This window comes from Homo sapiens, chromosome 19 (assembly GCF_000001405.40).
Source record: "Homo sapiens chromosome 19, GRCh38.p14 Primary Assembly".
Lineage (NCBI taxonomy): Eukaryota > Metazoa > Chordata > Mammalia > Primates > Hominidae > Homo > Homo sapiens.
In genome coordinates, this window is record NC_000019.10 from 4,834,599 (window position 1) to 4,859,073 (window position 24,475).

The following is a 24,475-nucleotide window of genomic DNA, read 5'->3' on the forward strand; positions in this document are numbered from 1 at the left end:
ATGCCTGTAATCCTAGCACTTTGGGAGGCTGAGGCGGGAGGATTGCTTGAGCCCAGGCGTTCAAGACTAGCCCTGGCAACACAGTGAGATCCCATCTCTACAAAAATTAAAAATAAAGAAAAAATGAGGGCCGGGTGCAGTGGCTCACGCCTGCAATCCCAGCACTTTGGGAGGCCGAGGCAGGTGGATCATGAGGTCAGGAGATCAAGACCATCCTGGCTAACACGGTGAAACCCCTGTCTCTACTAAAAATACAAAAAAATTAGCCGGGCGTGGTGGCGGGCACCTGTAGTCCCAGCTACTCAGGAGGCTGAGGCAGGAGAATGGTATGAACCCGGGAGGTGGAGCTTGCAGAGAGCCGAGATCACGCCACTGAACTCCAGCCTGGGCGACACAGCGAGACTCCATCTCAAAAAAAAAAAAAAAAAGAAAGAAAGAAAAAATGAGGCATGGCAGCACGTGCCTGTAGTCCCAGCTACCTGGGAGGCTGAGATGGGAGGACCACCAGAGCCCAAGAGGTTGAGACTGTAGTGAGCTATGATCGCACCACTGCACTCCAGCCTGGGCAACAGAGAGAAACCCTATCTCAAAGAAAAAATATAAAAAAAAAAAAGAAAGAAAGATAATATTCCAGTAAAAGTCCAAGTTTTTTTTTTACTTTCCCTCTCCACCACCTCCCCTAGAAGCCTCCACCCACAAGCCCATCCATTCTGTTTTCCACTTTTTTTTTTTTCTTTTTGGAGTCAGAGTCTCGCTCTGTCGCCCAGGCTGGAGTGCAGTGGCACGATCTTGGCTCACTGCAACCTCCTCCTCCTGGGTTCAAGCGATTCTCCTACTTCAGCCTCCTGAATAGCTGGGATTACAGCTGTGCGCCACCACGCCCAGCTAATTTTTGTATTTTTAGTAGAGATGGGGTTTCACCATGTTGGCCAGGCTGGTCTCGAACTCCTGGCCTCAAGTGATCTGCCTGCCTCAGCCTCCCAAAGTGCTGGGATTACAGGCATGAGCCACCATGCCCGGCCTCTGTTTTCCACTTTTGCACACATATCCACAGATCCGTGATCATGATACTGAATATTCTTCGATCTGATTTTCCTTTTTAATTCGCATAGGCCAGAGTTCAGCAAACTGTTTGTTGTAAAGGACCAGACAATAAATACTTTCGGCTGGGCGTGGTGGTTCACGCCTATAATCCCAGCACTTTGGGAGGCCGAGGCGGGCGGATCACAGTGTCAGGAGATCGAAACCATCCTGGCTAAAGCGGTGAAACCCCGTCTCTACTAAAAGTACAAAAAATTAGCCGGGCATGGTGGCAGGTGCCTGAAGTCCCAGTTACTCAGGAGGCTGAGGCAGGAGAATGGTGTGAACCTGTGAGGTGGTGCGGCTTGCAGTGAGCTGAGATCGCGCCACTGCACTCCAGCCTGGGCTACAGAGCGAGACTCCGTCTCAAAAAAAAAAAAATTTACTGTATTCCATTGTCAATATATCTTTGACACTTTCACAAGTCAACATATGTGTCATGTATGATATTCCAAAACAGGCATTGCTACCTTAAAATGTGGTGGTTATAAGCACCGTGGAGAGAACTTGACTCTTTGAGTCCAATTTTTTTTTTTTTTTTGAGACAGAGTCTCGCTCTGTTGCCCAGGCTGGAGTGCAGTGGCGTGATCTTGGTTCACTGCAACCTTTGCATCCTGGGCTAAGTGATTCTTGTGCCTCAGACTCCCCAGTAGCTGGGATTACAGGTGTGTGCCACCACACCCAGCTAATTTTTGTATTTTTAATAGAGAGGGGGATTTCACCATGTTGGCCAGCCTGGTCTCGAACTCCTGACCTCAAGTGACCTGCCCACCTTGGCCTCCCAAAGTGCTGAGATTACAGGCGTGAGGCACCATGCCTGGCCTGAGTTCAAATTACTACTCAGCTATTAGTAGCTGAGGTGGGGCTGAGGGTGGGCTCTCTGGATTACACCTCATTTTCCCTGGAGATAATAGCATCTATCTGATGGGATTGGGAAAAAGATCGGGTGAGAGCCAGGTGCAGTGACTCTCACCTGTAATCCCAGTGCTTTGGGAGGTTGAGTGGGAGGTCGCTTGAGCCCAGGAGTTTGAGACCAGCCTAGGCAACATAGCAAGACCCACATCTGTGTGTGTGTGTGTGTGTGTGTGTGTGTGTGTGTATAATTTAGCTGAGTGTGGTGGTGCACGCCTGTAGTTCCCAGATACTCAAGAGGATGAGGTGGGGCCAGATGTGGTGGCTCACACCTGTAACCTCAGTACTTTGGGAGGCCGAGGTGGGCAGATCACTTGAGGTCAGGAGTTTGAGACCAGCCTGGCTAACATGGTGAAACCCCATCTCTACTAAAAATACAAAATTACATCCTGGCTAACACGGTGAAACCCTGTCTCTACTAAAAATACAAAAAATTAGCCGGTTGTAGTGGCAGGCACCTGTAGTCCCGGCTACTCGGGAGGCTGAGGCAGGAGAATGGCGTGAACCCAGGAGGTGGAGCTTGCGGTGAGCCGAGATCGTGCCACTGTACTCCAGCCTTAGCCGGGCGTGGTGGTGCACGCCTGTAATCCCAGCTACTCGGGAGGCTGAGGCGGGAAAACCACTCGAACCTGGGAGGTGGAGGTTGCGGTGAGCTGAGATAGTACCACTGCACCCCAGCCTGGGCAACAGAGTACAACTCTGTCTCAAAAAAGAGCGAAAAAAAAAAAAAAAAAGGCTGGCATAGTGGCTCACGCCTGTAATCCAGCACTTTGGGAGGCCGAGGCGGGCAGATCACTTGAGGTCAGGAGTTCAAAGCCAGCCTGGCCAATATGGCAAAACCCCGTCTCTAGTAAAATTCAAAAATTAGCCGGGCATGGTGGGGCACGCACCAGTAATCCCTGTGGCTGTTGGTTATAGGGAGTGGATTCCTATGTAACATTCATTGAACTGTCCCTTTAAGATTCATATACTTGGGTGCATATGAATTCAACTTGAATATGGATTAACAAAGAGAAAGTAACATGTGGTTGGTGATGGGGGAAATGAACCCTCTCAGGACTTAGGGTGGGAGTGAAAAGACTGACAATGATTTGGGCAACAGTCCAGCAGTATTTAGTAAGACTGAGAATGTATCTTCTCCATGTCCCTGGGAGAAGTCCCTGAAGTTCCCCTTCTCTGTAGCTACCGTAGAGAAACACTGTAGATTGTCACTTGGATTTTTTTCCGAGATGGTATCTTGCTCTGTTGCCCAGGCTGGAGTGCAGTAGTGCGATCTTGGCTCACTGCAGTCTCAAACTCCTGGGCTCAAGTGACCCTCCCACCTTACCATGCCTGGCTAACTTAAAAAAAAAAAATTTGTGTAGAGATGGGGTCTTGCTATGTTGCCCAGGCCAGTCTCAAACTCCTGGCCTCAAGTGATCCTCCCACCTCGGCCTCCCAAAGTGCTGGGATTACAGGCGTGAGCCACTGTGCCAGGCCTGCCAGTGTCTTGATCTTGGACTTCCCCGCCTCCGGAACTGTGAGAAATCAATTTCTGTTGCTCATAAATTACCCAGCCTGGCCAGGCACTTTGGGAGGACGTGGTGAGAGGAACGCTTGAGCTCAGGAGTTCAAGATCAGCCTGGGCAACATAGCAAGACCCCGTCTCTACAAAATAAATAAATGAATAAATAAATTACCCTGCCTAAGATATTTCTGTTCTAGCAGCAGGGACAGATGAAGACACACACACGTACACACATGGCCTGTATGCAGTTGTGGGTGAAGTTTATTAAGGCAATACTGAATACCAGAGCATTTCAACAAGGCTTACCACACAGGCCCCAGTACCTTTCTACTCTACAATGAGGCTCAGAAGCTCAGTGTACCACCCCATCCCCAGGAGGCCCACTTAGACCAGAAATCCCAAGTCCATTAGCTACAGGCTGATATTCAGGGACATCGGTGTAAACAAAGAAGTGGGATATGAACTATATCCCTGATTTTTTTTTCTTTTTTTTTTTTTTTGAGACTAAGTCTCACTCTTGTCCCCCAGGCTGGAGTGCAATGGCGCGATCTTGGCTCACTGCAACCTCCGCCTCTCAGGTTCAAGAGATTCTCTTGCCTCAGCCTCCTAACTGGGATAACAGACACCTGCTACCATGCCCGGCTCATTTTTTTTTGTATTTTTAGTAGAGACGGGGTTTCACCATGTTGGCCTGGCTGGTCTCGAACACCTGACCTCAGGTGTTCCGCCCGCCTCAGCCTCCCAAAGTGCTGGGATTACAGGTGTGAGCCACCGCACCCGGCCTATATTCCTGATATTTAACAAGGAAAAAAAATTCTGCAGGGGAGAACTTTCCTGAAAGATATTTTTTCTGGACATCTCTCTCTACTGACTGATAGGGTGAGGCTCAGAACAGGCTTCTTCCAAGCTCAGAGAGGCTGAGAGATGGGTCAACTGGGTGATGCCCGTTTTGAGAGCCTTAGCTTCCCAAGTGGACAGCACAGAAGAGCTGGGAGGAGTGGCTAGAAAATAAGTTTGAAATGAGCCCCGGGTTGAGGACTCCAGAGCACAGCTGCATTATAGAGACGGGGCCCGCTGAGTCCTCTCCTCTCCCCCTACTTCTTCTCCTCCGGGGCTTTCTCAGTGATTCCAGGGGCAAAGGGTCCCACGAGCCACGTGACAGGTGTGTTCTGGGCCACATATTCCACCATGTGGTCCAGGGCCTCGCGGGCGCTGGCGACACGCTCACGGCTCTGGGCCAGAATGCTGCTGGACAGGTCCTGGAAGGAGTGGATGCTGGAAAACGTGGCCTGGAGGTCCTCCACCTGGCGGCGGGCCTGCTGCACCTGGTCCTTCACATTGGTGGGGAGGCCCTGAATGCTGGACCCCAGGGAGGTACAGGTGGCCTGCAGTTGCTGGGCAATGTCCCGGAACATGGTGAGCGCCCGGGACTCGACCTGCTGAGAAGGGAGATGGGGACACCAATCAGGACCATTTGTTTCAGGAAAGGCGATCGGAGCTGAAGCCAGGGAAAGAGGGGAAGAGGGGTTCTACCACTGACCTTGGGGCAAACGCTTTCCATAGGCGAAACTTTTTTTTTTTTTTTTGAGACGGAGTCTCGCCCTGTCGCCCAGGCTGGAGTGCAGTGGCACAATCTCAACTCACTGCAAGCTCCGCCTCTCAGGTTCGCGCCATTCTCCTGCCTCAGCCTCCCGAGTAGCTGGGACTACAGGCGCCCACCACCACGCCAGGCTAATTTTTTGTATTTTTAGTAGAGACGGGGTTTCACCGTGTTAGCCAGGATGGTCTTGATCTCCTGACCTCGTGATCCGCCTGCCTTGGCCTCCCAAAATGCTGGGATTACAAGCGTGAGCCACCGTGCCCGGCCCTTTTTTTTTTTTTTTTTTTTGAGATAGAGTCTTGCTCTGTTGCCCAGGTTGGCGTGCAGTGGCATGATTTTGGCTCACTGCAACCTCCGCCTCCCAGGTTCAAGCGATTCTCCTACCTCAGCCTCCCGAATAGCTAGGACTACAGGCGCGTGCCACCACGCCCGTCTAACTTTTGCATTTTTAGTACAGATGGGGTTTCACCATGTTGGCCAGGCTGGTCTTGAACTCTACCTCAAGTGATCGGCCCTCCTTGGCCTCCCAAAGTACTGAGATTACAGGCATGAACCACCGCGCCCAGACTCTTTTCTTTTAATTAGAAACAGGATCTCACTTTGTCGCCCAGGCTGGAGTGCAGTGGCGTGATCATAGCTTACTACAGCCTGTAACTCCTGAGCTCAAGTTATCCTCTCATTTCAGCCTGCCTGACTACAGGCACTCACTACCACGCCCAGCTACATTTTTAAAATTTTCTGTAGAGCCAGGATCTCACTAAGTTGCCCAGGTCTTAAACTCCTGGGCCCAAGTGACCTGCCCACTTCAGCCTCCCAAAATGCTGGAATTACAGGCACGAGCCACTGCATTTGGCCACTAGTCAAATTCTTTAAAGGGCATAGACAAATCACCAAAGAAGATATAGGGAGAGCACATGAAAAGCTGTTTGACCTTATAAGTCATTGAGGAAATGCAAATCAAAACCATAAGGAGGCCTGGCATGGTGGCTCATGCCTGTAATCCCAGCACTTTGGGAGGCCAAGGTGCGTGGATCACCGAGGTCAGGAGTTCAGCCTGACCAACATGGCGAAACCCGCATTTCTACTAAAGATACAAAATTAGCCGGGTGTGGTGGCATGTGCCTATAATCCCAGCTACACAGGAAGCTGAGGCAGAAGAACTGCTTGCACCCAGGAGGCGGAGGTTGCAGTGAGCCAAGATCATGCCATTGCACTCCAGCCTGGGCAACAGAGCGAGACTCTGTCTCAAAAACAAACAAACAAACAAAAACCCCAGAGGCTATCAGATGATACCCACTGTCAGTCAAGAGGCGGAGAAATTGGAAGCCTCGTGTATTGCTGGTGGTATAGTTACTTTGGAAAACAGTCTAGCGGTTACTCAAAATGTTAAACCATAGAATCATCATATGACTCGGCAATTCTAGTTGTGGGTGTGTGCACAAGAGAAACGGAAACATACGTCCACACACAAAGACATGCACACAGGGGCACAGCAAAAAGTAGAAACGACTCAAGTGTCCTTCGGTTGATAAATGGGTGAACAGAATGTGATCCACCCATACAACAGAATGTGACTCAGCCATGGAACGTCATGGGGCTCTGACCCAGGCCACAGCATGGGTGAGCCCTAAGGACGTCACGCTCAGCGCGAGAAGCCGGACACAAAAGGCCAAACAGGGTGTGATCCCATTTCTATGAAATGTCCAGGACAGGCCCATCCAGAGACAGGAGGGGATACGTGGTTGGGAGGAGGAGGAAATGGGGCAGTGACTGCTGATGGGAAAAGGGTTTCTTTTTAGGGGCATGAGATGAGATAGGGATAGTTGCACAATGCTGAGAACCAGCGATGTGTATGCTTTAAATGCGTGACTTGTATGGTATGCAAATGAGATCTCAATAAAACTGTTAAAAAAAAAAAAAAGGCTGGGTGCGGTGGCTCACCCCTGTAATCCCCAGCACTTTGGGAGGCCGAGGAGGGTGGATCATGAGGTCAGGACGATCGGGACCATCCTGGCTAACATGGTGAAACCCCATCTCTACTAAAAAAACACAAAAAAATTAGCTGGGCATGGTGGCGGGAGCCTGTAGTCCTAGTTACTTAGGAGGCTGAGGCAGGAGAATGGCGTGAATCCGGGAGGCGGAGCTTGCAGTGAGCCGAAATCGCGTCACTGCACTCCAGCCTGGGCGACAGAGCGAGACTCCATCTCAAAAAAAAAAAAAAAAAAAAAAGAAAAAAAAAAGCTGTTAAAAAACAAAAAGTGGAAGCCAGGCTGGGACAGCCTGGAAGAACTTTCTAGGCAGAAGTTGTAAACCATCCGGGGAGAACATAGTTGAAATCAGGTCCTTGAAAATTTCCTTGGCCAGAGAGTGAGATGAGCACAGACAGGGTTCGAGACCAGCCTGGCCAACATGGTGAGACCCCATCTCTACTAAAAATACAAAAATTAGGCCGGGCGCAGTGGGTCAGGCCTGTAATCCCAGCACTTTGGGGGGCCAAGACGGGTGGATAACTTGAGGTTAGGAGTTCTAGACCAGCCTGGCAAACATGACAGAACCCTGTCTCTACTAAAAATACAAAAAAATTAGCTGGGTGTGGTTGCAGGCGCCTGTAATCCCAGCTACTTGGGAGACTGAGGCAGGAAAATTGCTTGAACCCAGGAGGTGGAGGCTGCAGTGAGTCAAGATCACGCCACTGCACTCCAGCTTGGGTGACGGAGTGAGACTCTGTCTCAAAAATAAATAAATAAATCAAATTAGCTGGGCGTGGTGGCAGGTGCCTGTAGTCTCAGCTACTCGGGAGGCTGAGGCAGGAGAATCGCTTGAACCCGGGAGGCAGAGGTTGCAGTGAGCCGAGATCATGACATTGCACTCCAGCCAGGGTGACAGAGTGAGACTCTATCTCAAAAAAAAAAAAAAAAAAAAAAAAGGCACACACTGGGAGGTAGGGTTTTGCCCAGAGCCCTGGCAGCTGGAGGACTCTGGACTTGAGCGAGGGATTACGGGAGAGTGCCCACGTGAGAGAGATAAGATCTGGTTTTTTCATTTGAAAAGTCATTCTGGCTGCTGTGCTTAGCAGTCGGGGAAACAGGAGACAGTTTTAGGCAGCAGGTGGTCTAGTTCTGCCTCCCGAACAATTTGCATTTATAGAGATATTCACCATATCTTTATGCATGTCACTTTTGTAGCCCTTACTATGTGCTTTTGATATGATCTCATTTCAGTTTTTAAAAAATCGATCTGGGTCCGGGCACGGTGGCTCACGCCTGTAATACCAGCACTTTGGGAGGCCGATGTGGGCGGATCACCTGCGGTCAGGAGTTTGAGACCAGCCTGGCCAACATGGCGAAACCCCGTGTCTACTAAAAAGTACAAAAATTAGCCGGGCGTGGTGACGCATGCCTGTAATCCCATCTACTGGGGAGGTGGAGACAGGAGAACCACTTGAACCCAGGAGGCAGAGGTTGCAGTGAGCTGAGATTGTGCCACTGCACTCCAGCCTGGGCAACAGAGCAATAAATAAATAAATAGGCAGGGTGCGGTGGCTCACGCCTGTAATCCCAGCACTTTGGGAGGCCGAGGCGGGCGGATCACAAGGTCAGCAGATCAAGACCATCCCGGGTAACACGGTGAAATCGCGTCTCTACTAAAAATACAAAAAAAATTAGCTGGGCCTGGTGGCGGGCGCCTGTAGTCCCAGATACTCGGGAGGCTGAGGCAGGAGAATGGCGTGAACCTGGGAGGCAGAGCTGGTAGTGAGCTGAGATTACACCACTGCACTCCAGCCTGGGTGACAGAGCGAGACTCCATCTCAAAAAATAAATAAATAAATAAATAAATAAATAATTGATCTGGGGTCGGGTGTGGTGGCTCATGCCTGTAATCCCAGTGCTTTGGAAGGCTGAAGTGGGAGTATTGCTTGACACCAGGAGCTCAAGACCAGCCTGGGCAACACAGTGAGATCCTGTCTCTACTAAAAATTAAAAAAAAAATTAGCCAGGCATCGTGGCACACGCCTGTGTTCCCAGCTACTTGGGAGGCTGAGGCGAGAGGATTGCCTGAGCCTGCAATGGCGAGGCCACAGTGACCTGTGATGGCATCACTGCACTCCAGCCAGGGCAACAGAGTGAGACCCTGTCTCAAAGATAAATAAACAACTATTTCAAAAATTGATATATAATCCACACACCCTAAAACTCGCCCTTTGAAGTGTACGATTCATTGGTTTTTAATACATTCACAAGGTTGGGCAAATACTACCTTCATCTAATTTCAGGACATTTTCTGTTTTTTGAGACAGAATCTCCTTCTGTTGCCCAGGCTGGAGTGCAGTGGTGCGATCTCGGCTCACTGCAAACTTCCTTTGCCCCTGGGGAGCTTAAGTGGGTGGTGGGACAGGCAGCGAGACCCATTAGAGAACACAAGAGGCCAAGGCTTGAGATAGAGTGGAGGGGGCCGGAGAATACTAGTCAGAAGTTGCTGCTAGGGGCCGGGCTCAGTAGCTCACGCTTGTAATCCCAACACTTTGGGAGGCTGGGCAGGGCGGATCACTTGAGGTCAGGAGTTCAAGACCAGCCTGGCCAACATGGTGAAACCCTGTCTCTACTAAAAATACAAAAAAATTAGCCAGGCGTGGTGGTGAGCGCCTGTAATCCCAGCTACTAGGGAGGCTGAGGCAGGAGAATCACTCGAACCCAGGAGGTGGAGGTTGCAGTGAGCCAAGATCATGCCATTGTACTCCAGCCTGGGTGACAGAGCAACACTCCATCTCAAAACAAAAAACAGAAGCCATACCTATGCATGCCCAAGAGGAGAAATCAAGGCAGGCTTCCTGAAGGAGGTGTCATTAGCTTCCAAAAGCAGGTGAGGCTAGGGAAATCATTCGAAGCAGGTAGGCCCATGAAGCAGAGGTGTAGAGAGTGGCATCGGGACTCCAAGTACCCTAGGCCACCCCCCAGTCCCCTCATGGGTACCTCTGGCTTGGGCGGCTCCTTCTCGGGGCCCTGGAGCTGCTTCTGGTTCCAGCTGAGCCACATCTGGTGCAGCTTCTCCTGGCCTTCCACCAGCTTCTGATCAACGCCTTGCTTGACAGTTTCCATCTGGGGCAGGGGAGAGAGAAGTGAGGGAAGGAGGCTCCCCTGGGAGAGACGGGATTCCAGAAGGAACCCAAGGAATCCTTCCAGCATCTGACTTACATGACAGTCTAGAAAAGAGAAAGGGAGGGAGGGAGGAAGGGTTTCCTGGCTACGGTGAGCTCTGGGGCCTTTGGTTTAATCATTGACATACTCAGGCTCTGTGTGGTTGGTGCAAAGAAGGGCTGCACATCCCCTGTAGCTCTTCCCATTGTGTCAATTTCTCCTGCGCTTGCAAGGGAGCCTGGACACGTGGCTGGCTTTGGCCAATGGGACATGAGCAGATGGAACCAGCAAAGGCTTAAAAAGTGCTTGTAGGCTGGGCATGGTGGCTCACACCTGTAATCCCAGCACTTTGGGAGGTTGAGGTGGGTGGATCACCTGAGTTCAGGAGTTCGAGACCAGCCTAACCAACATGGTGAAACCCCGTCTCTACTAAAAATACAAAAATTAGCCAGGTGTGGTGGTGCACATCTGTAGTCCCAGCTACTCAGGAGGCTGAGGCACGAGAATCGCTTGAACCTGGGAGGCGGAGGTTGCAGTGAGCTGAGATTGCGCCACTGCACTCCAGCCTGGGTGACAGAGCCAGACTCTATCTCAAAACAACAAAAAACAAAAAACAAAAAAAAGTGCTTGTAATGAAATATGACTCAGCCTTCCAAAGGAACGAAGCAGGCTGACTTCTGCAATCCCAGCGCTTTGGGAGGCCAAGGGGGTTGGATCAGTTGAGCTCAGTAGCTCCAGAACAGCATAGGCAACACAGTGACATCTCATCTCTACATATTACATAAAGTTTAAGAGAAAAGAAAAATAGTCGGCCGAGCGCAGTGGCTCACACCTGTAATCCCAGCACTTTGGGAGGCCGAGGCGGGTGGATCACGAGGTGAGGAGATCGAGACCATCCTGGCTAACACGGTGAAACCCCATCTCTACTAAAAATACAAAAAATTAGCCCAGCGTGGTGGTGGGCGCCTGTAGTCCCAGCTACTCGGGAGGCTGAGGCAAGAGAATGGTGTGAACCAAGGAGGCAGAGCTTGCAGTGAGCAGAGACTGCATGCCACTGCACTCCAGCCTGGGTGACAGAGCGAGACTCCGTCTCAAAAAAAAAAAAAAAAAGGCCGGGCGCGGTGGCTCACGCCTGTAATTCCAGCACTTTGGGAGGCCGAGGCGGGCGGATCAAGAGGTCAGGAGATCAAGACCATCCTGGCTAACACTGTGAAACCCCATCTCTACTAAAAATAGAAAAGAAAATTAGCCAGGCATGGTGGCCGGCGCCTGTAGTCCCAGCTACCAGAAGGCTGAGGCAGGAGAATGGCATGAACCCAGGAGGCGGAGCTTGCAGTGAGCTGAGATCGCGCCACAAAAAGAAAAGAAAAATAAATAAAGAGGAATGATGGCAGACATATGCTCCAAGATGGGTGCACCTAAGAGGCTGCAGTGAGCCATGATCATCCACTCCAGCCTGGGCAACAGAGTGAGCCCCTGTCTCTGGAAAAAAAAAAAAAAAAATCGTCATAAAGGTAAATGAAGCTATCCATTAGGGTGGGCTCCAATCCATAAAGGGCTGGTCTCCTTCAATAAGGAGATTAGAGCTGTGCGTGGTGGCTCGTGTCTGTAATCCCAGCACTTTGGGAGGCTGAGGTGGGTGGATCACTTGAGGTCAGGAGTTTGAGACCAGCCCGGCCAACATAGTGAAACCCCATCTCTACTAAAAATACAAAAATTAGCCAGGCATGGTGGCAAGTGCCTGTGATCCCAGCTACTCGGGACGTGGAGGCCCAAGAATCACTTGAACCCGGGAAGTGGAGGTTGCAGTGATCTGAGATTGCACCACTACACTCCCGCCTGGGCAACAGAGCGAGACTCCGTTCAAAGAAAAAAAAGAGATTAGGACACAGACATACACAGAGGGAAGGGACGACCACGTGAATACACAGAGAGAAGATGGCTGTCTACGAGTCAAGGAGAGAGGCCCCAGAAGGACACTCTGATCTTGGACTTCCAGCCTCCAGAAATGTGAGAAAATAAATATCTGTTGTTTACATTTCCCAGACAGTACGAATTTTTTTTTTTTTTTTTTGAGATGGAGTCTCACTCTTGTCACCCAGGCTGGAGAGCAGTAGCATGATCTCGGCTCACTGCAATCTCTGCCGCCCGGGTTCAAGCGATTCTCCTGCCTCAGCCTCCTGAGTAGCTGGGATTACAGGTGCCTGCCATTGTACCTGGCTAATTTTTGTATTTTTAGTAGAGATGGGGTTTCACCATGTTGGCCAGGCTGGTCTTGAACTCCTGACCTCGTGATCCACCCGCCTCAGCCTCCCAAAGTGCTGGGATTACAGGCATGAGCCACCGCACCTGGCCACGATTTTTTTTTTTTTTTTGAGATGGGGTCTTGCTCTGTTGACTAGGCTGCAGTGCAGTGGCACAATCATAGCTCACTGCAGCCTCCAACTCCTGGGCTCAAGCAATCGTCCCACCTCAGCCTCCCAAGTAGCTGAGATTACAGGCACGCACCACCACAGCCAGCTAATTGTTTTAAATTATTTTTTGTAGAGATGGGGTCTTGCTATATTGCCCAGGTGGGTCTCAAACCCCTGGACTCATGCGATCCTCCTGCCTTGGGCTCCCAAAGCACTTGAGGGACTCACACAAAGAGGTGTGAGCCACTGTGCCCGGCCCCAGACAGTGTGGTTTGTGGCAGCATCCTGAGCAAATGAGTGTACAACCAGATACAGTGCCAGGAGCAAGCGGGAATGGCCCTGCCAGCCTGCAGAGGGGTGAGCAATAAGCCACTGAGCTCTGGGTGGGTGTCTGCTGCGGGGTGAAGGCTGCTGGCTCAGGGCCCCGACCCCCTGGAACCTCACCAGGCTTAGGACCTGCGACAGCTGCAGCAGAGCCTCCTGTGCCCTCTGCTTGGTGGCTCGAAGCTTGCCCAGCGAGTGCTCATAGGCGTGCTGCCGCAGCCTCTCCGACAGGGAGCCCAGACGTACGAAGTAGCTCTGTTCCTGCCGCTGCTGCTGCACGGACGCGACGTCAAAGCCATCCAGGGATGTGGCGATGCGGGCTGCAAGGAAAAGGAGAAGGGTCTCTGTGAAGACCAGAACACACAGCTGGGCTCGTCCCATGCAGACAGTCCCAAGAATCACACTGTCCAGTTTATTTATTTATTTATTTAGAGATGGAGTCTCGCTCTGTCGCCCAGGTTGGAGTGCAGTGGTGTCATCTCGGCTCACTGCAACCTCTGCCTCCCGGGTTCAAGTGATTATCCTGCCTCAGCCTCCCGAGTAACTGAGATTACAGGCGCCCGCCACCATGCCCAGCTAATTTTTGTATTTTTAGTAGAGACGGGGTTTCACCATGTTGGCCAGGCTGGTCTCGAACTCCTGATCTCCAGTGATTCATCCGAACTGGCCTCCAAAAGTGCTGTGATTATAGGCGTGAGCCACCACACCTGGCCATGCTGTCCAGTTTATAACCCAGTTCTACTTCTTATAAACCTCGAAGGCCTGGGAGCAAAGGATTCTGCCTTGGTTTTCCCTATCTGCAAAACGGGGATAAGGAAAATTAAACCTCACAGGAATCAGAGACCTTAGACTAGCAGGAGGGTCTCAAGCTATGGCCTGCAGGCCAGACCTGCCTTGGACAACCTGTGAATATAGGCCTGAATGTTCATTATGCAGTCCTGCAGAGAATAACAGCATTCCAGCCAGCAATACATCACATATACTACAGAGGTCCCATAAGATTATAATACCGTAGGCCGGGTGCAGTGGCTCATGCCAGTAATGCCAGCCCTTTGGGAGGCCAAGGCGGGCAGATCACTTGAGGTCAGGAGTTCAAGACTAGCCTGGCCAACATGGCACTACCCCATCTCTACTAAAAATACAAAAATTAGCCAGGCGTGATGGCACTAGCCTGTAATCTCAGCTACTTAGGAGGCTGAGGCAGGAGAATCGCTTGAACCCGGGAGGTGGAGGCTGCAGTGAGCCAAGATCACACCACTGCACTCCAGCCTGGGTGAGAGTGAGACTCCGTCTCAAAAAAAAAAGAGAATAATGACATTTCAGCCAACAATGGACTGCATATACTACAGTGGTCCCATAAGATTATAATACCATATATACCGTATTTTTCCTGTACTTTTTCTTCTTTTTTTTAGACAGGGTCTCGGTCTGTTGCCCAGGCTGGAGTACAGTGGCACGACCTCAGCTTACTGCAGGCTCAACCTCCCAGCTTCAAGCTATCCTTCAACCTTGGCCTCCCGAGTAGCTGGGACTACATAAAGCTGGGACTACGGCAAGACACCTGGCTAATTTTTGTACTTTTTGTAGGAATGGGGTCTCACTATGTTGCCCAGGCTGGTCTTGAAATCCTGGACTCAAGCAATCTGCTCGCCTCAGACTCCCAAAGTGCTAGGTTTACAGGTGTGAGCCATTGCACCTGGCTTCCTGTACCTTTTCTATGTTTAGATCTGTTTGTTTTGTCGGTTTTTATATTTTGAAGTACAGTCTCGCTCTGTTGCCCAGGCTGGAGTGCAGCGGTGCAATCATAGCTCACTGTAGCCTTGAACTCCCAGGCTCAAGTGATCCTCCTGTCTCAGCTCCCAAATAGCAACTGGGACTACAGGCGTGCACTAGCACACCCAGCTAATTTTTAAATTTTTTGTAGAGATGGGGTCTATGTTGTCCAGGCTGGTCTGGAACTACTGGGCTTAACTAATCCTCCCACCAAAGTGCTGGGATGACAGGTGTGAGCCACCACGCCTGGCCTCATCCCATGTTCGTAGGTTCATATGTGTATATGCATGTATTTATTTACTTATTTATTTATTTATTTATTTTTTTGAGACAGAGTCTCACTCTGTTGCCCAGGCTGGAGTGCAATGGCATGATCTCGGCTCACTGCAACCTCCGCCTCCCGGGTTCAAGTGATTCTCCTGCCTTAGCCTCCTGAGTAGCTGGGATTACAGGAATGTGCCACCATGCTTGGCTAATTTTTGTATTTTTAGTAGAGATGGGGTTTCACCATGTTGGCCAGGCTGGTCTCAAACTCCTGACCATGTGATCCAGCTGCCTCAGCCTCCGAAAGTGCTGGGATTACAGGCATGAGTCACCACACCTGGCCTTTATTTTTTTTGAGATGGAGTTTCACTCTTGTTGCCTGGGCTGGAGTGCAATGGCGCAGTCTTGGCTCACCACAAGCTCTGCCTCCCAGATTCAAGCCATTCTCTTGCCTCAGCCTCCCGAGTTAGCTGGGATTACAGGGATGCGCCACCATGCCTGGCTAATTTTGTATTTTTAGTAGAGATAGGGTTTCTTTATGTTGGTCAGGCTTGTCTCGAACTCCCGACCTCAACCTCCACCCGCCTCAGCCTCCCAAAGTACTGGGATTACAGCCATGAGCCACTGCGCCCAGCTGCATGTATTTATTTAATCCTGCTCCTACTGTACCCATGCTTTTTTTTTTTTGAGATGGAGTCTCACTCTGTCGCCCAGGCTGGAGTGCAGCGGCCCAATCTTGGCTCACTGCAACCTCTGCCTCCCAAGTAGCTGGGATTACAGACGCCTGCCACCGCACCTGGCTAATGTTTATTTTATTATTATTATTTTTTTGAGACGGCGTCTAGCTCTATTGCCCAGGCTGGAGTGGAGTGGCATGATCTCGGCTCACTGCAAGCTCCGCCTCCCAGGTTCATGCCATTCTCCTGCCTCAGTCTCCCGAGTAGCTGGGACTACAGGCACCCGCCACCACGCCCGGCTAATTTTTTTTTTTTTTTTTTTTTTTTTTTTAGTAGAGATGGGGTTTCACTGTGTTAGCCAGGATGGTCTCGATCTCCTGAACCTGTGATCCGCCCGGCCTTGGCCTCCCAAAGTGCTGGGATTACAGGCGTGACCCACCGTGCCCGGCCTAATTTTTGTATTTTTAGTAGAGACCGGGTTTCACCATGTTGGCCAGGCTTGTCTCAAACTCTTGACTTCAGGTGATCTGCCCACCTCGGCCCACCAAAGTGCTGGGATTACAGGCTGAGCCACCGCGCCCTGCCTATATCCTAAGCTACTTATTTGCAAAAATCCCAATCCCCGCACTTTGGGGGGCTAAAGCAGTAGGATCACTCCAGCCAAGGAGTTCTGGATCAGCTGGGATGACAGAGGGAGACCCCGTCTTTACCAAAAATTAAATAAAGAAAAATTAGTTGGGCGTGATGGTGTGTGCTTGTAGTCCCAGCTACTCGGAGGCTGAGATGGGAGGCTCGCCTCAACCCAGGAGTTGGAGGCTGCATTGAGCTATGATCGCACCACTGCACTTCAGCCTGGGCAAGAGAGTGAGACTCTATCTCTAAAACAAATAAATAAAAAAGGGCCGGGCATGGTGGCTCACACCTGTAATCCCAGTACTTGGGGAGGCCGAGGTGGGCAGATCACAAGGTCAGGAGTTCGAGACCAGCCTGGCCAACATAGTGAAACCCCGTTTCTACTAAAAATACAAAAAATTAGCTGTGTGGTGGCAGGTGCCTGTAATCCCAGCTACTCAGGAGGATGAGGCAGGAGACTCGCTTGAACCCAGGAGGCAGAGGTTGCAGTGAGCTGAGATCACGCCATTGCACTCCAGCCTAGGTGACAGGGCGAGACTCTGTCTCTAAATAAATAAATAAATTAATTAAAGAAGAATATCAAATAAACAGTGCAGGGAGTGCGAATATGTGACCGAGATGACTGGAGTGGGATGTCTGGCCTGGCGGGAACACCAGCATTGTTGTCACAGTTCAGTGAGATCTCAAGTTTAGTCACGTATTTATGCAGGAGCGGAGTGGCGAAGGGGGAAGAGGAGGAGGGCGGGGAGAGGACAGGGGAGGTTGTGCAGGACCTTGTGGGCTGTGACGAGGACTTGGGCTTTGACCCCAGGGGAGGTGGGGTCCATGGAGGGCTGTGGGCAGAGGGACGGGTTCTGACTCAGGTGGTCACAGGCGCCCTCTGGTGGCTGCTGTGGGGAGGAGACTGTGGTGGATGAGGGCGGGAGCTGGTGAGCAGGACAGAGGGGACTGCGTTAGTGATGAGATTCCAAGATGCCCGGGAGAAGTGGCAGGGACGAGGCGGCAGTGAGTGTCGGCACAGACCCCAGGAGGCCGACAGCGGCTTCCGGTCAGGGGGCCTGGGGAGGGGTCCCAGAGCAGCCCGCTGGCCACACTTACCCAGTTCGGCATCCGTAAGGGGCAGGTGGTTGTCCGCCCACTCCTCCGACTTCCCCAGCACCGTGTCGACCCCACTCAACACCATCTGGCCCAAGCGGGAGCCCATGACCGATTGGACGCCGCCGGTCACTACGGACTTTGTCTTGTCCACGCCGCTCTGCACAGCACCGCGGGTCGCGTCCACCGCCTCCGACAATTGGGTGGCCACCGTGTCCTTGGCGCTAGACACCATCTCTTGGGCCCCCGACACCTTAGACGACACAAGCTCCTTGGTGTCCGCCAGGACCTAGGAGATGCAACAGCATCAGCATCTCTGCCTTCCCTCCATATCTGGGCACCCCTCCCCTGCACCCCAACTTCCAGGGAGACCGAGGCGGGGAGCGCCATCCCCCGGGTGACCCCAGCATCTCCGTCTTCCCTCTGTATGTGGGCACCCCTCCCCTGCACCCCAACTTCCAGGGAGACTGAGGCAGGGAGCGCCATCCCCCAGGTGACCCTGAGTCTGGAGTTGTGGGCATGACCTCATACTCTGCAGCCAGACTACCTAGGCTCCGTTCCTAGCTAGCTACTTCTCAGCTGTGTGGCTTCAGGAAAGTCACTCTACCTCCCTGTACCTCATTTCTTTCTTTCTTTTTTTTTTTTGGAGACAGGGTCTTGCTCTCTTGCCCAGGCTGGAGTGCAGTGACACCATCTCAGATCACTGCAACCTCTGTCTCCCGGGTTCAAGCAGTTCTCCTGCCTCAGCCTCCGAAGCAGCTGGGATTACAGGTGCCCGCCACCATGCCTGGCTAATTGTTTTTTGTTGTTGCTGTTGTTGAGATGGAGTTTCACTCTCGTTGCCCAGGCTGGAGTGCAATTGTGTGATCTCGGCTCACTGTAACCTCCGCCTCCTGGGTTCAAGCGATTCTCCTGCCTCAGCCTCCCGAGTAGCTGGGATTACAGGCATGCGCCACCACGCCAGGCTAATTTTGTATTTTTAGTAGAGATGGGGTTTCACCATGTTGGTCAGGCTGGTCTCAAACTCCTGACCTAGTGATCCGCCCACCTCAGCCTCCCAAAGTGCTAGGATTACAGGCATGAGCCACTGCACTCTGCCTGTTTTTTGTTTTTTTTTTTCAATTTAATTTTTTTTCTTTTGAGATGGAGTCTCCCTCTGTCACCCAGGTGGAGTGCGGTGGCACAATCTCGGCTCACTACAAACTCCACCTCCTGGGCTCAAGTGAGCCTCCCACCTCAGCTTCCCCAGCGAGTAGCTGTGACCACAGGCACGTACCACCACTCGTGGCTATTTTTTATCTTTTATTTTTATTTATTTATTAATTTTTTTGAGGCGGAGTTTCACTCTTGTTGCCCAGGCTAGAGTGCAATGGTGCAATCTCGATTCACTGCAACCTCTGCCACGTGGGTTCAGGTGATTCTCCTGCCTCAGCCTCCCAAGTAGCTGGGATTACAAGCACATGCCACCATGCCGAGCCGATTTTTGTATTTTTAGTAGAGACGGGTTTCACCATGTTGGCCAGGCTGGTCTTGAACTCCTGACATCAGGGGATCCACTTGCCTGGGCCTCCCAAAGTGCTGGGATTACAAGCATGAGCCACTGCGCCCAGCCTTATTTTTTATTTTTTGTAGAGACAAAAAATACAAAAAATTAGCCGGGTGCAGTGGTGCATGTCTGTAATCCTTACTACTCAAGAGGCTGAGGCGGGAGAATCCCTTGAACCCGGGAGGTGGAGTTTGCAGTGAGCCGAGACTGCACCACTGCACTCCACCCTGGGTGACAGAGAGAGACTCTGTCTCCAAAAAAAAACAAAAACAAACAAACAAAAAAAAGCTTTGCATGGAATCCTTTGACTACGCCCCACCCAGCACATGGTGAGCGCTCATCTGTCAATACCTGCTGTTCTCGAATCTAAGTCTTTTTTTTTTTTTTCTTTTGAGACAGGGTCTCACTGTGTCACTCAGGCTGGAGTGCAGTGGTGCAATCATAGCTTACTCAAGCCTTGACCTCTTCGGCTCCAGCGATCCTCCCACCTCAGCCTCCCAAGTAGCTGAGACTACAGGTACGCACCACCACACCCGGCTTATTTTTTTATTTTTTGTAGAGACAAGGACTCTCCATGTTGCCCAGGCTGGTTTCGAACTCCTGGCCTCAAGCAGTCCTCCTGCTTTGGCCTCCCAAAGTGCTGGGATGACCGACATGAGCCACTGTGTCCAGCTGAAGCTAAGTCTTTAGACAGATCTCTATGCAGAGGGCTCTCCGCAAAGTTGAAAACCACACCTGCCCCATTCCTACCCAAGTTGGTGCTTCCCTGAAGACTCAGTCCTCTTGTACTCATGAGAGTTCATCTTTTTGTGGGGGAAGAGGGTGTGAGAGTCAAGTTTTTTGTTTTTGTTTTTGTTTTTTTTTACAGAGTTTTTGCTCTTGTCACCCAGGCTGGAGTGCAGTGGCACTATCTCGGCTCACCGCAACCTCCACCTCCCAGGTTCAAGCGGTTCTCCTGCCTCAGCCTCCCCAGCAGCTGGGACTACAGGCGTGCACTGCCACGGCCGGCTAATTTTTTGTATTTTTAGTAGAGACGGGGTTTCACTGTGTGAGCCAGCATGAGCCAACGCCCCCGATGAGAGTCAGGTTCTAACAGCCCCACTACTCAGTGAACACGCACGTTCTCACACTGGCCCGGATTAAAATCTAGCTCTGACAACACCACCGTCCCCCAGAACCTGGGGAAAGTTACCTCTTCACAAAGGGGGAAAAAACTCATAGGGCCCAGAATTGAGAGAGCATTGCACCTCTCAAAAAGTCAAGAGCTCACAGCAGGCCAGGCACGGTGGCTCACACCTGTCATCCCGGCACTTTGGGAGGCTGAGGTGGGAGGATCGCTTGGGCCCAGAAGTGTGAGAACAGCCTGGGCAACATAGTAAGACCTCACCTCTACAAAAAATACAAAAATTGGCCGGGCACGGTGACTCACGCCTATAATCCCAGCACTTTGGGAGGCCAAGGCAGCTGGATCACCTGAGGTCAGGAGTTCGAGACCAGCCTGGCCAACATGGTGAAACCCCATCTCTACTAAAAATACAAAAATTTGCTGGGCGTAGTGATGGGCGCCTATAATCCCAGCTACTTGGGAGGCTGAGGCAGGAGGATCACTTGAACCCAGGAGGCAGAGGTTGCAGTGGGCTGAGATCACGCCACTGCATTCCAGCCTGGGCAACAGAACGAGACTCCATCTGAAAAAAAAAAAAAAAAAAAAAAAAAGCTCCCAGCTGCTGCTCTGTTCAGTGACCTTGAAGAATTCACCCTGAGCTTATCCCTTCTATAAACAGAAAGACTGTTGGCCTCCTACGCTATCAGTGGGAGAGAAAGGGAAGCAAGGGCTTGGCCCTGAGACGGGGGCTCCTGGTTGACGTTTCCCATCTTCCTGTAAGCTCAGCAGTTTCCATCCCCCCTCAGCCAAGCCCACTATTGGCCTTTGCTGATAAGGTGTAGGCATGGCTGGGCATAGTGGCTCACAACTATAATCCCAGCACTTTGGGAAGCCAAGGCAGGCAGGAGGATTGCTTGAGCCCAGGAGTTTGTTTTTTGTTTTGTTTCTGAGATGGAGTCTCGCTCTGTTGTTCTGATCTCGTGATCCGCCCGCCTCGGCCTCCCAAAGTGCTGGGATTACAGGCGTGAGCCACCGTGCCTGGCTAGCCTGGGAGTTTGAGACCAGCCTGGGCAATATAGCAAGACCCCATTCCTACAAAAAATTAAAAAATTAGTCAGGTGTGGTGGTGCACACCTGTAGTCCCAGCTTCTCAGGAGGCTGAGAGCTGGGAGGATTGCCTAAGTCTAGGAGGTCAAGGCTGTAGTGAGCCAAGATCACGCCACTGCACTCTAGCTTGGGCTACAGAGCAAGACCTTGTCTCAAAAAAAAAAAAAAAATGCAAGTTGACAACCGCTCTGCTGTTTCCCAGCTAAGGCCATTTCTGCATAAATGGGAGGTGAGGAAGTCTAACCATGATGGGACAGCACAGCTCCCCGGCATACAGTAGGCACTCAATAGCAAGTGGATGAATAAGCTGCCTGTCCCTGCAGGTGGTCTCAGGGAAAGTCCAAGGATGCTGGGATGCGGCTGGCTTGTCCTGCCTCCAACCCAGGGATCACCTATTTCTGATGCTACAGACCCAGACACAAGCAGGTGGTACCCGAGGGTGGCCCTTCTGTAACCACTGGGCTGAAGCGGACATGGAGCACCTGAATACTTAATAAGCATCTATCTGCAGGGCGCGGTGGCTCACACCTGTAATCCCAGCACTTTGGGAGGCCGAGGCAGGCAGATCACCTGAGGTTGGGAGTTCGAGACCAGCCTGACCAACATGGAGAAACCCCATCTCTACTAAAAAGATAAAATTACCCAGGCATGGTGGTGCATGCCTGTAATCCCAGCTACTCGGGAGGCTGAGGCAGGAGAATCGCTTGAGCCCGAGAGGCGGAGGTTGCAGTGAGCCGAGATCGCACCATTGCACTCCAGCCTGGGCAACAAGAGCAACACTCTGTCTCAAAAAACTAAAAAAATAAGCATCTACCCTGTGCCAGGCTGCCTGCTGGGCACTGGACACAGCCACAAAGCAGGCAGCCTGTGCCCTGGTCCCAGCTGGGGAGACAAACAATAACCGATTAAGCCTCACACTTATCTGAAGGAGGGTGTTTTTTTTTTTTTTTTTGAGACAGAGCCTTGCTCTGTTGCCCAGGCTGGAGCGTGGTGGCACGATCTCGGCTCACTGCAACCTCTTGCCTCCCAGGTTCAAGTGATACTCGTGCCTCAGCCTCCCGAGTAGCTGAGATTATAGGAACTCACCATCACGCCTGGCTGATTTTTGAATTTTTAGTAGACACAGGGTTTCACCATGTTGGCCAGGCTGGTCTCGTACTCCTGATCTCAAGTGATCTGCACGCTTCGGCCTCCCAAAGTGCTGGGAGTAAGGCGTGAGCCACCACGCCTGGTCTGTGCCTCATTTTTTCATCCCAGGCTGTTATAGGTTGAATTATGGCCCCCTCAACCCCAAATTCTTATGTTGAAGTCCTGATCCCCAGGGGTAAGAATGTGGCTGTATTTAGAGACAGGGTCTTTAAAAAGCGGTGATTAAGGGAAACTGAGGTAGGGCACAGTGGCACACTCCTATAATTCTAGCACTTTGTGGGGCTGAGGCAGGAGGATTGCTTGAGCCCAAGAGTTGGAGACCGGCCTGGGCAATATGGCGAGACTCCGTCTTGACAAAAAGTACAAAAATTAGCCAGGCGTGGTGGATGCACCTAGTCCCAGCTACTCAGGAGGCTGAGGCAGGAGGATCTGTTGAGCCCAGGAGTCTGAGAACAGCCTGGGCAACATGGTGAAAACTCGTCTCTACAAAAAATTAAAAATAGCCAGGCATGGTGGTGCATGCCTGTGGTCCCAGCTACTTGGGAAGCTGAGATGGGAGGATCACTTGAGCCCAGGAGTTCAAGGCTGCAGTTGAGCCATGATCACACTACTGCACCCCACCCTGGGTGACAGAGTGAGAACCTGTCTCAAAAAAAAAATTTTTTTTTTTAATGTTAAGAGCCAACATTTGCTACAAGCCATGTGCTGTTCTGGGCCTTCAGGTGTTAACCCCAGGTCAGCATTGCCATTCTGTAGAAAAGAAAGTGGGACCCAGGCTGGGCCTGGTGGCTCATGTCTGTAATCCCAACACTTTGGGAGGCCAAGGCAGGTGGATCACCTGAGGTCGGGAGCTCGAGACCAGCCTGACCAACATGGTAAAACCCCATCTCTACTAAAAATACAAAAATTGGCCAGGTGTGGTGGCACATGTCTGTAATCCCAGCCACTCGGGAGGCTGAGGCGGGAGAATCGCTTGAACCTGGGAGGTGGAGGTTGCAGTGAGCTGAAACTGCACCAGTGCACTCCAGCCTGGGCAACAAGAGCGAAACTCCATCTTAAAAAAAAAAAGAGGGGGCCGGGCACAGTGGCTCATGCCTGTAATCCCAGCACTTTGGGAGGCCGAGGCGGGAGGATCACGAGGTCAAGAGATTGAGACCATCCTGGCCAACTTGGTGAAACCCCGTCTCTACTAAAAATACAAAAATTAGCTAGGCGTGGTGGCAGACGTCTGCAACCCCAGCTACTCAGCAGCCTGAGGCAGGAGAATCGCTGGAACCCGGAGGTGGAGGTTGCAGTGAGCCGAGATTGCACCACTGCACACCAGCCTGGCAACAGAGCAAGACCCCGTCTCAAAAAAAAAAAAAAAAAAAAAAAAGTGAGGCCCACAGAGGCAAAGTAACTTGTGTGAGGGCCACCCAGCTGCTGAGGGGCAGGACACAGTTTGGAACATGGTGTTTTTTTTGTTTTGTTGTTTTTGAGACAGAGTCTCGCTCTGTCGCCCAGGCTGGAGTGTAGTGGCGCGATCTCAGCTCACTGCAACCTCCGTCTCCTGGGTTCAAGTGATTCTCTTGCCTCAGCCTCCCGAGTAACTAGGACTACAGGCACACGCCACCACGCCAAGCTAATTTTTTTTTTTGTAGTTTTAGTAGAGATGGGGTTTCACTGTGTTTGCCAGGATGGTCTCGATCTCCTGACCTTGTGATCCGCCCACCTCAGCCTCCCAAAGTACTGGGATTACAGGCATGAGCCACCGCGCCTGGCCAGAATATGGTGTTTTTTTGGTTTTTTTTTTTTTTTTTGAGATGGAGTTTCACTCTTGCTGCCCAGGCTAGAGTGCAATGGCATGATCTCGGATCACTGCAACCTCCGCCTCCAGGGTTCAAGAAATTCTCCTGCCTCAGCCTCCCGAGTAGCTGGGATTACAGGCACCCGCTACCACACCCAGATAAATTTTGTATTTTTAGTAGAGACGGGGTTTCTCCATGTTGGTCAGGCTGGTCTCAAACTCCCAACCTCAGGTGATCCTCCCGCCTTGGCCTCCCAAAGTGCTGGGATTACAGGCATGAGCCACCGCGCCCGGCCAGGAACATGGTGTTTTGATGTTTTGACTTTCCTGCCGCCAACCTTTTCTGACTAATAAGTTATGGAGGTGGC

General features: G+C 51.4%; 1 protein-coding gene across 3 annotated transcripts in view, besides 3 other annotated features; it reads right to left on the reverse strand.

Annotated features, from left to right (window-relative positions):
* Positions 3,743 to 24,475, reverse strand: part of PLIN3 (perilipin 3) — a 29,327-nt gene continuing 8,594 nt past the window's right edge. The window contains exons 5-8 of one of the 3 annotated variants that reach the window (NM_001164194.2): positions 17,418 to 17,667; positions 13,093 to 13,292; positions 10,070 to 10,195; positions 3,743 to 4,938 (exon numbers count right to left, since the gene is read on the reverse strand). In NM_001164194.2, the coding sequence (NP_001157666.1) occupies positions 4,594 to 4,938; positions 10,070 to 10,195; positions 13,093 to 13,292; positions 17,418 to 17,667 (921 nt within the window). In that variant the 3' untranslated portion in view covers positions 3,743 to 4,593. Of the gene's footprint in view, positions 4,939 to 10,069; positions 10,196 to 13,092; positions 13,293 to 17,417; positions 17,704 to 24,475 lie in introns of all 3 variants that reach the window. The other 2 variants (NM_001164189.2, NM_005817.5) reach the window with 2 other exon arrangements.
* Positions 6,154 to 6,373: an enhancer, noted in NCBI's record as "active region_13784". NCBI's record gives its function as "activates an Ori minimal core promoter by ATAC-STARR-seq in GM12878 lymphoblastoid cells {active_cell/tissue: GM12878}" and the evidence as "EXISTENCE:reporter gene assay evidence [ECO:0000049][PMID:35858748]".
* Positions 6,794 to 6,873: an enhancer, noted in NCBI's record as "active region_13785". NCBI's record gives its function as "activates an Ori minimal core promoter by ATAC-STARR-seq in GM12878 lymphoblastoid cells {active_cell/tissue: GM12878}" and the evidence as "EXISTENCE:reporter gene assay evidence [ECO:0000049][PMID:35858748]".
* Positions 17,159 to 17,248: a silencer, noted in NCBI's record as "silent region_9908". NCBI's record gives its function as "represses an Ori minimal core promoter by ATAC-STARR-seq in GM12878 lymphoblastoid cells {active_cell/tissue: GM12878}" and the evidence as "EXISTENCE:reporter gene assay evidence [ECO:0000049][PMID:35858748]".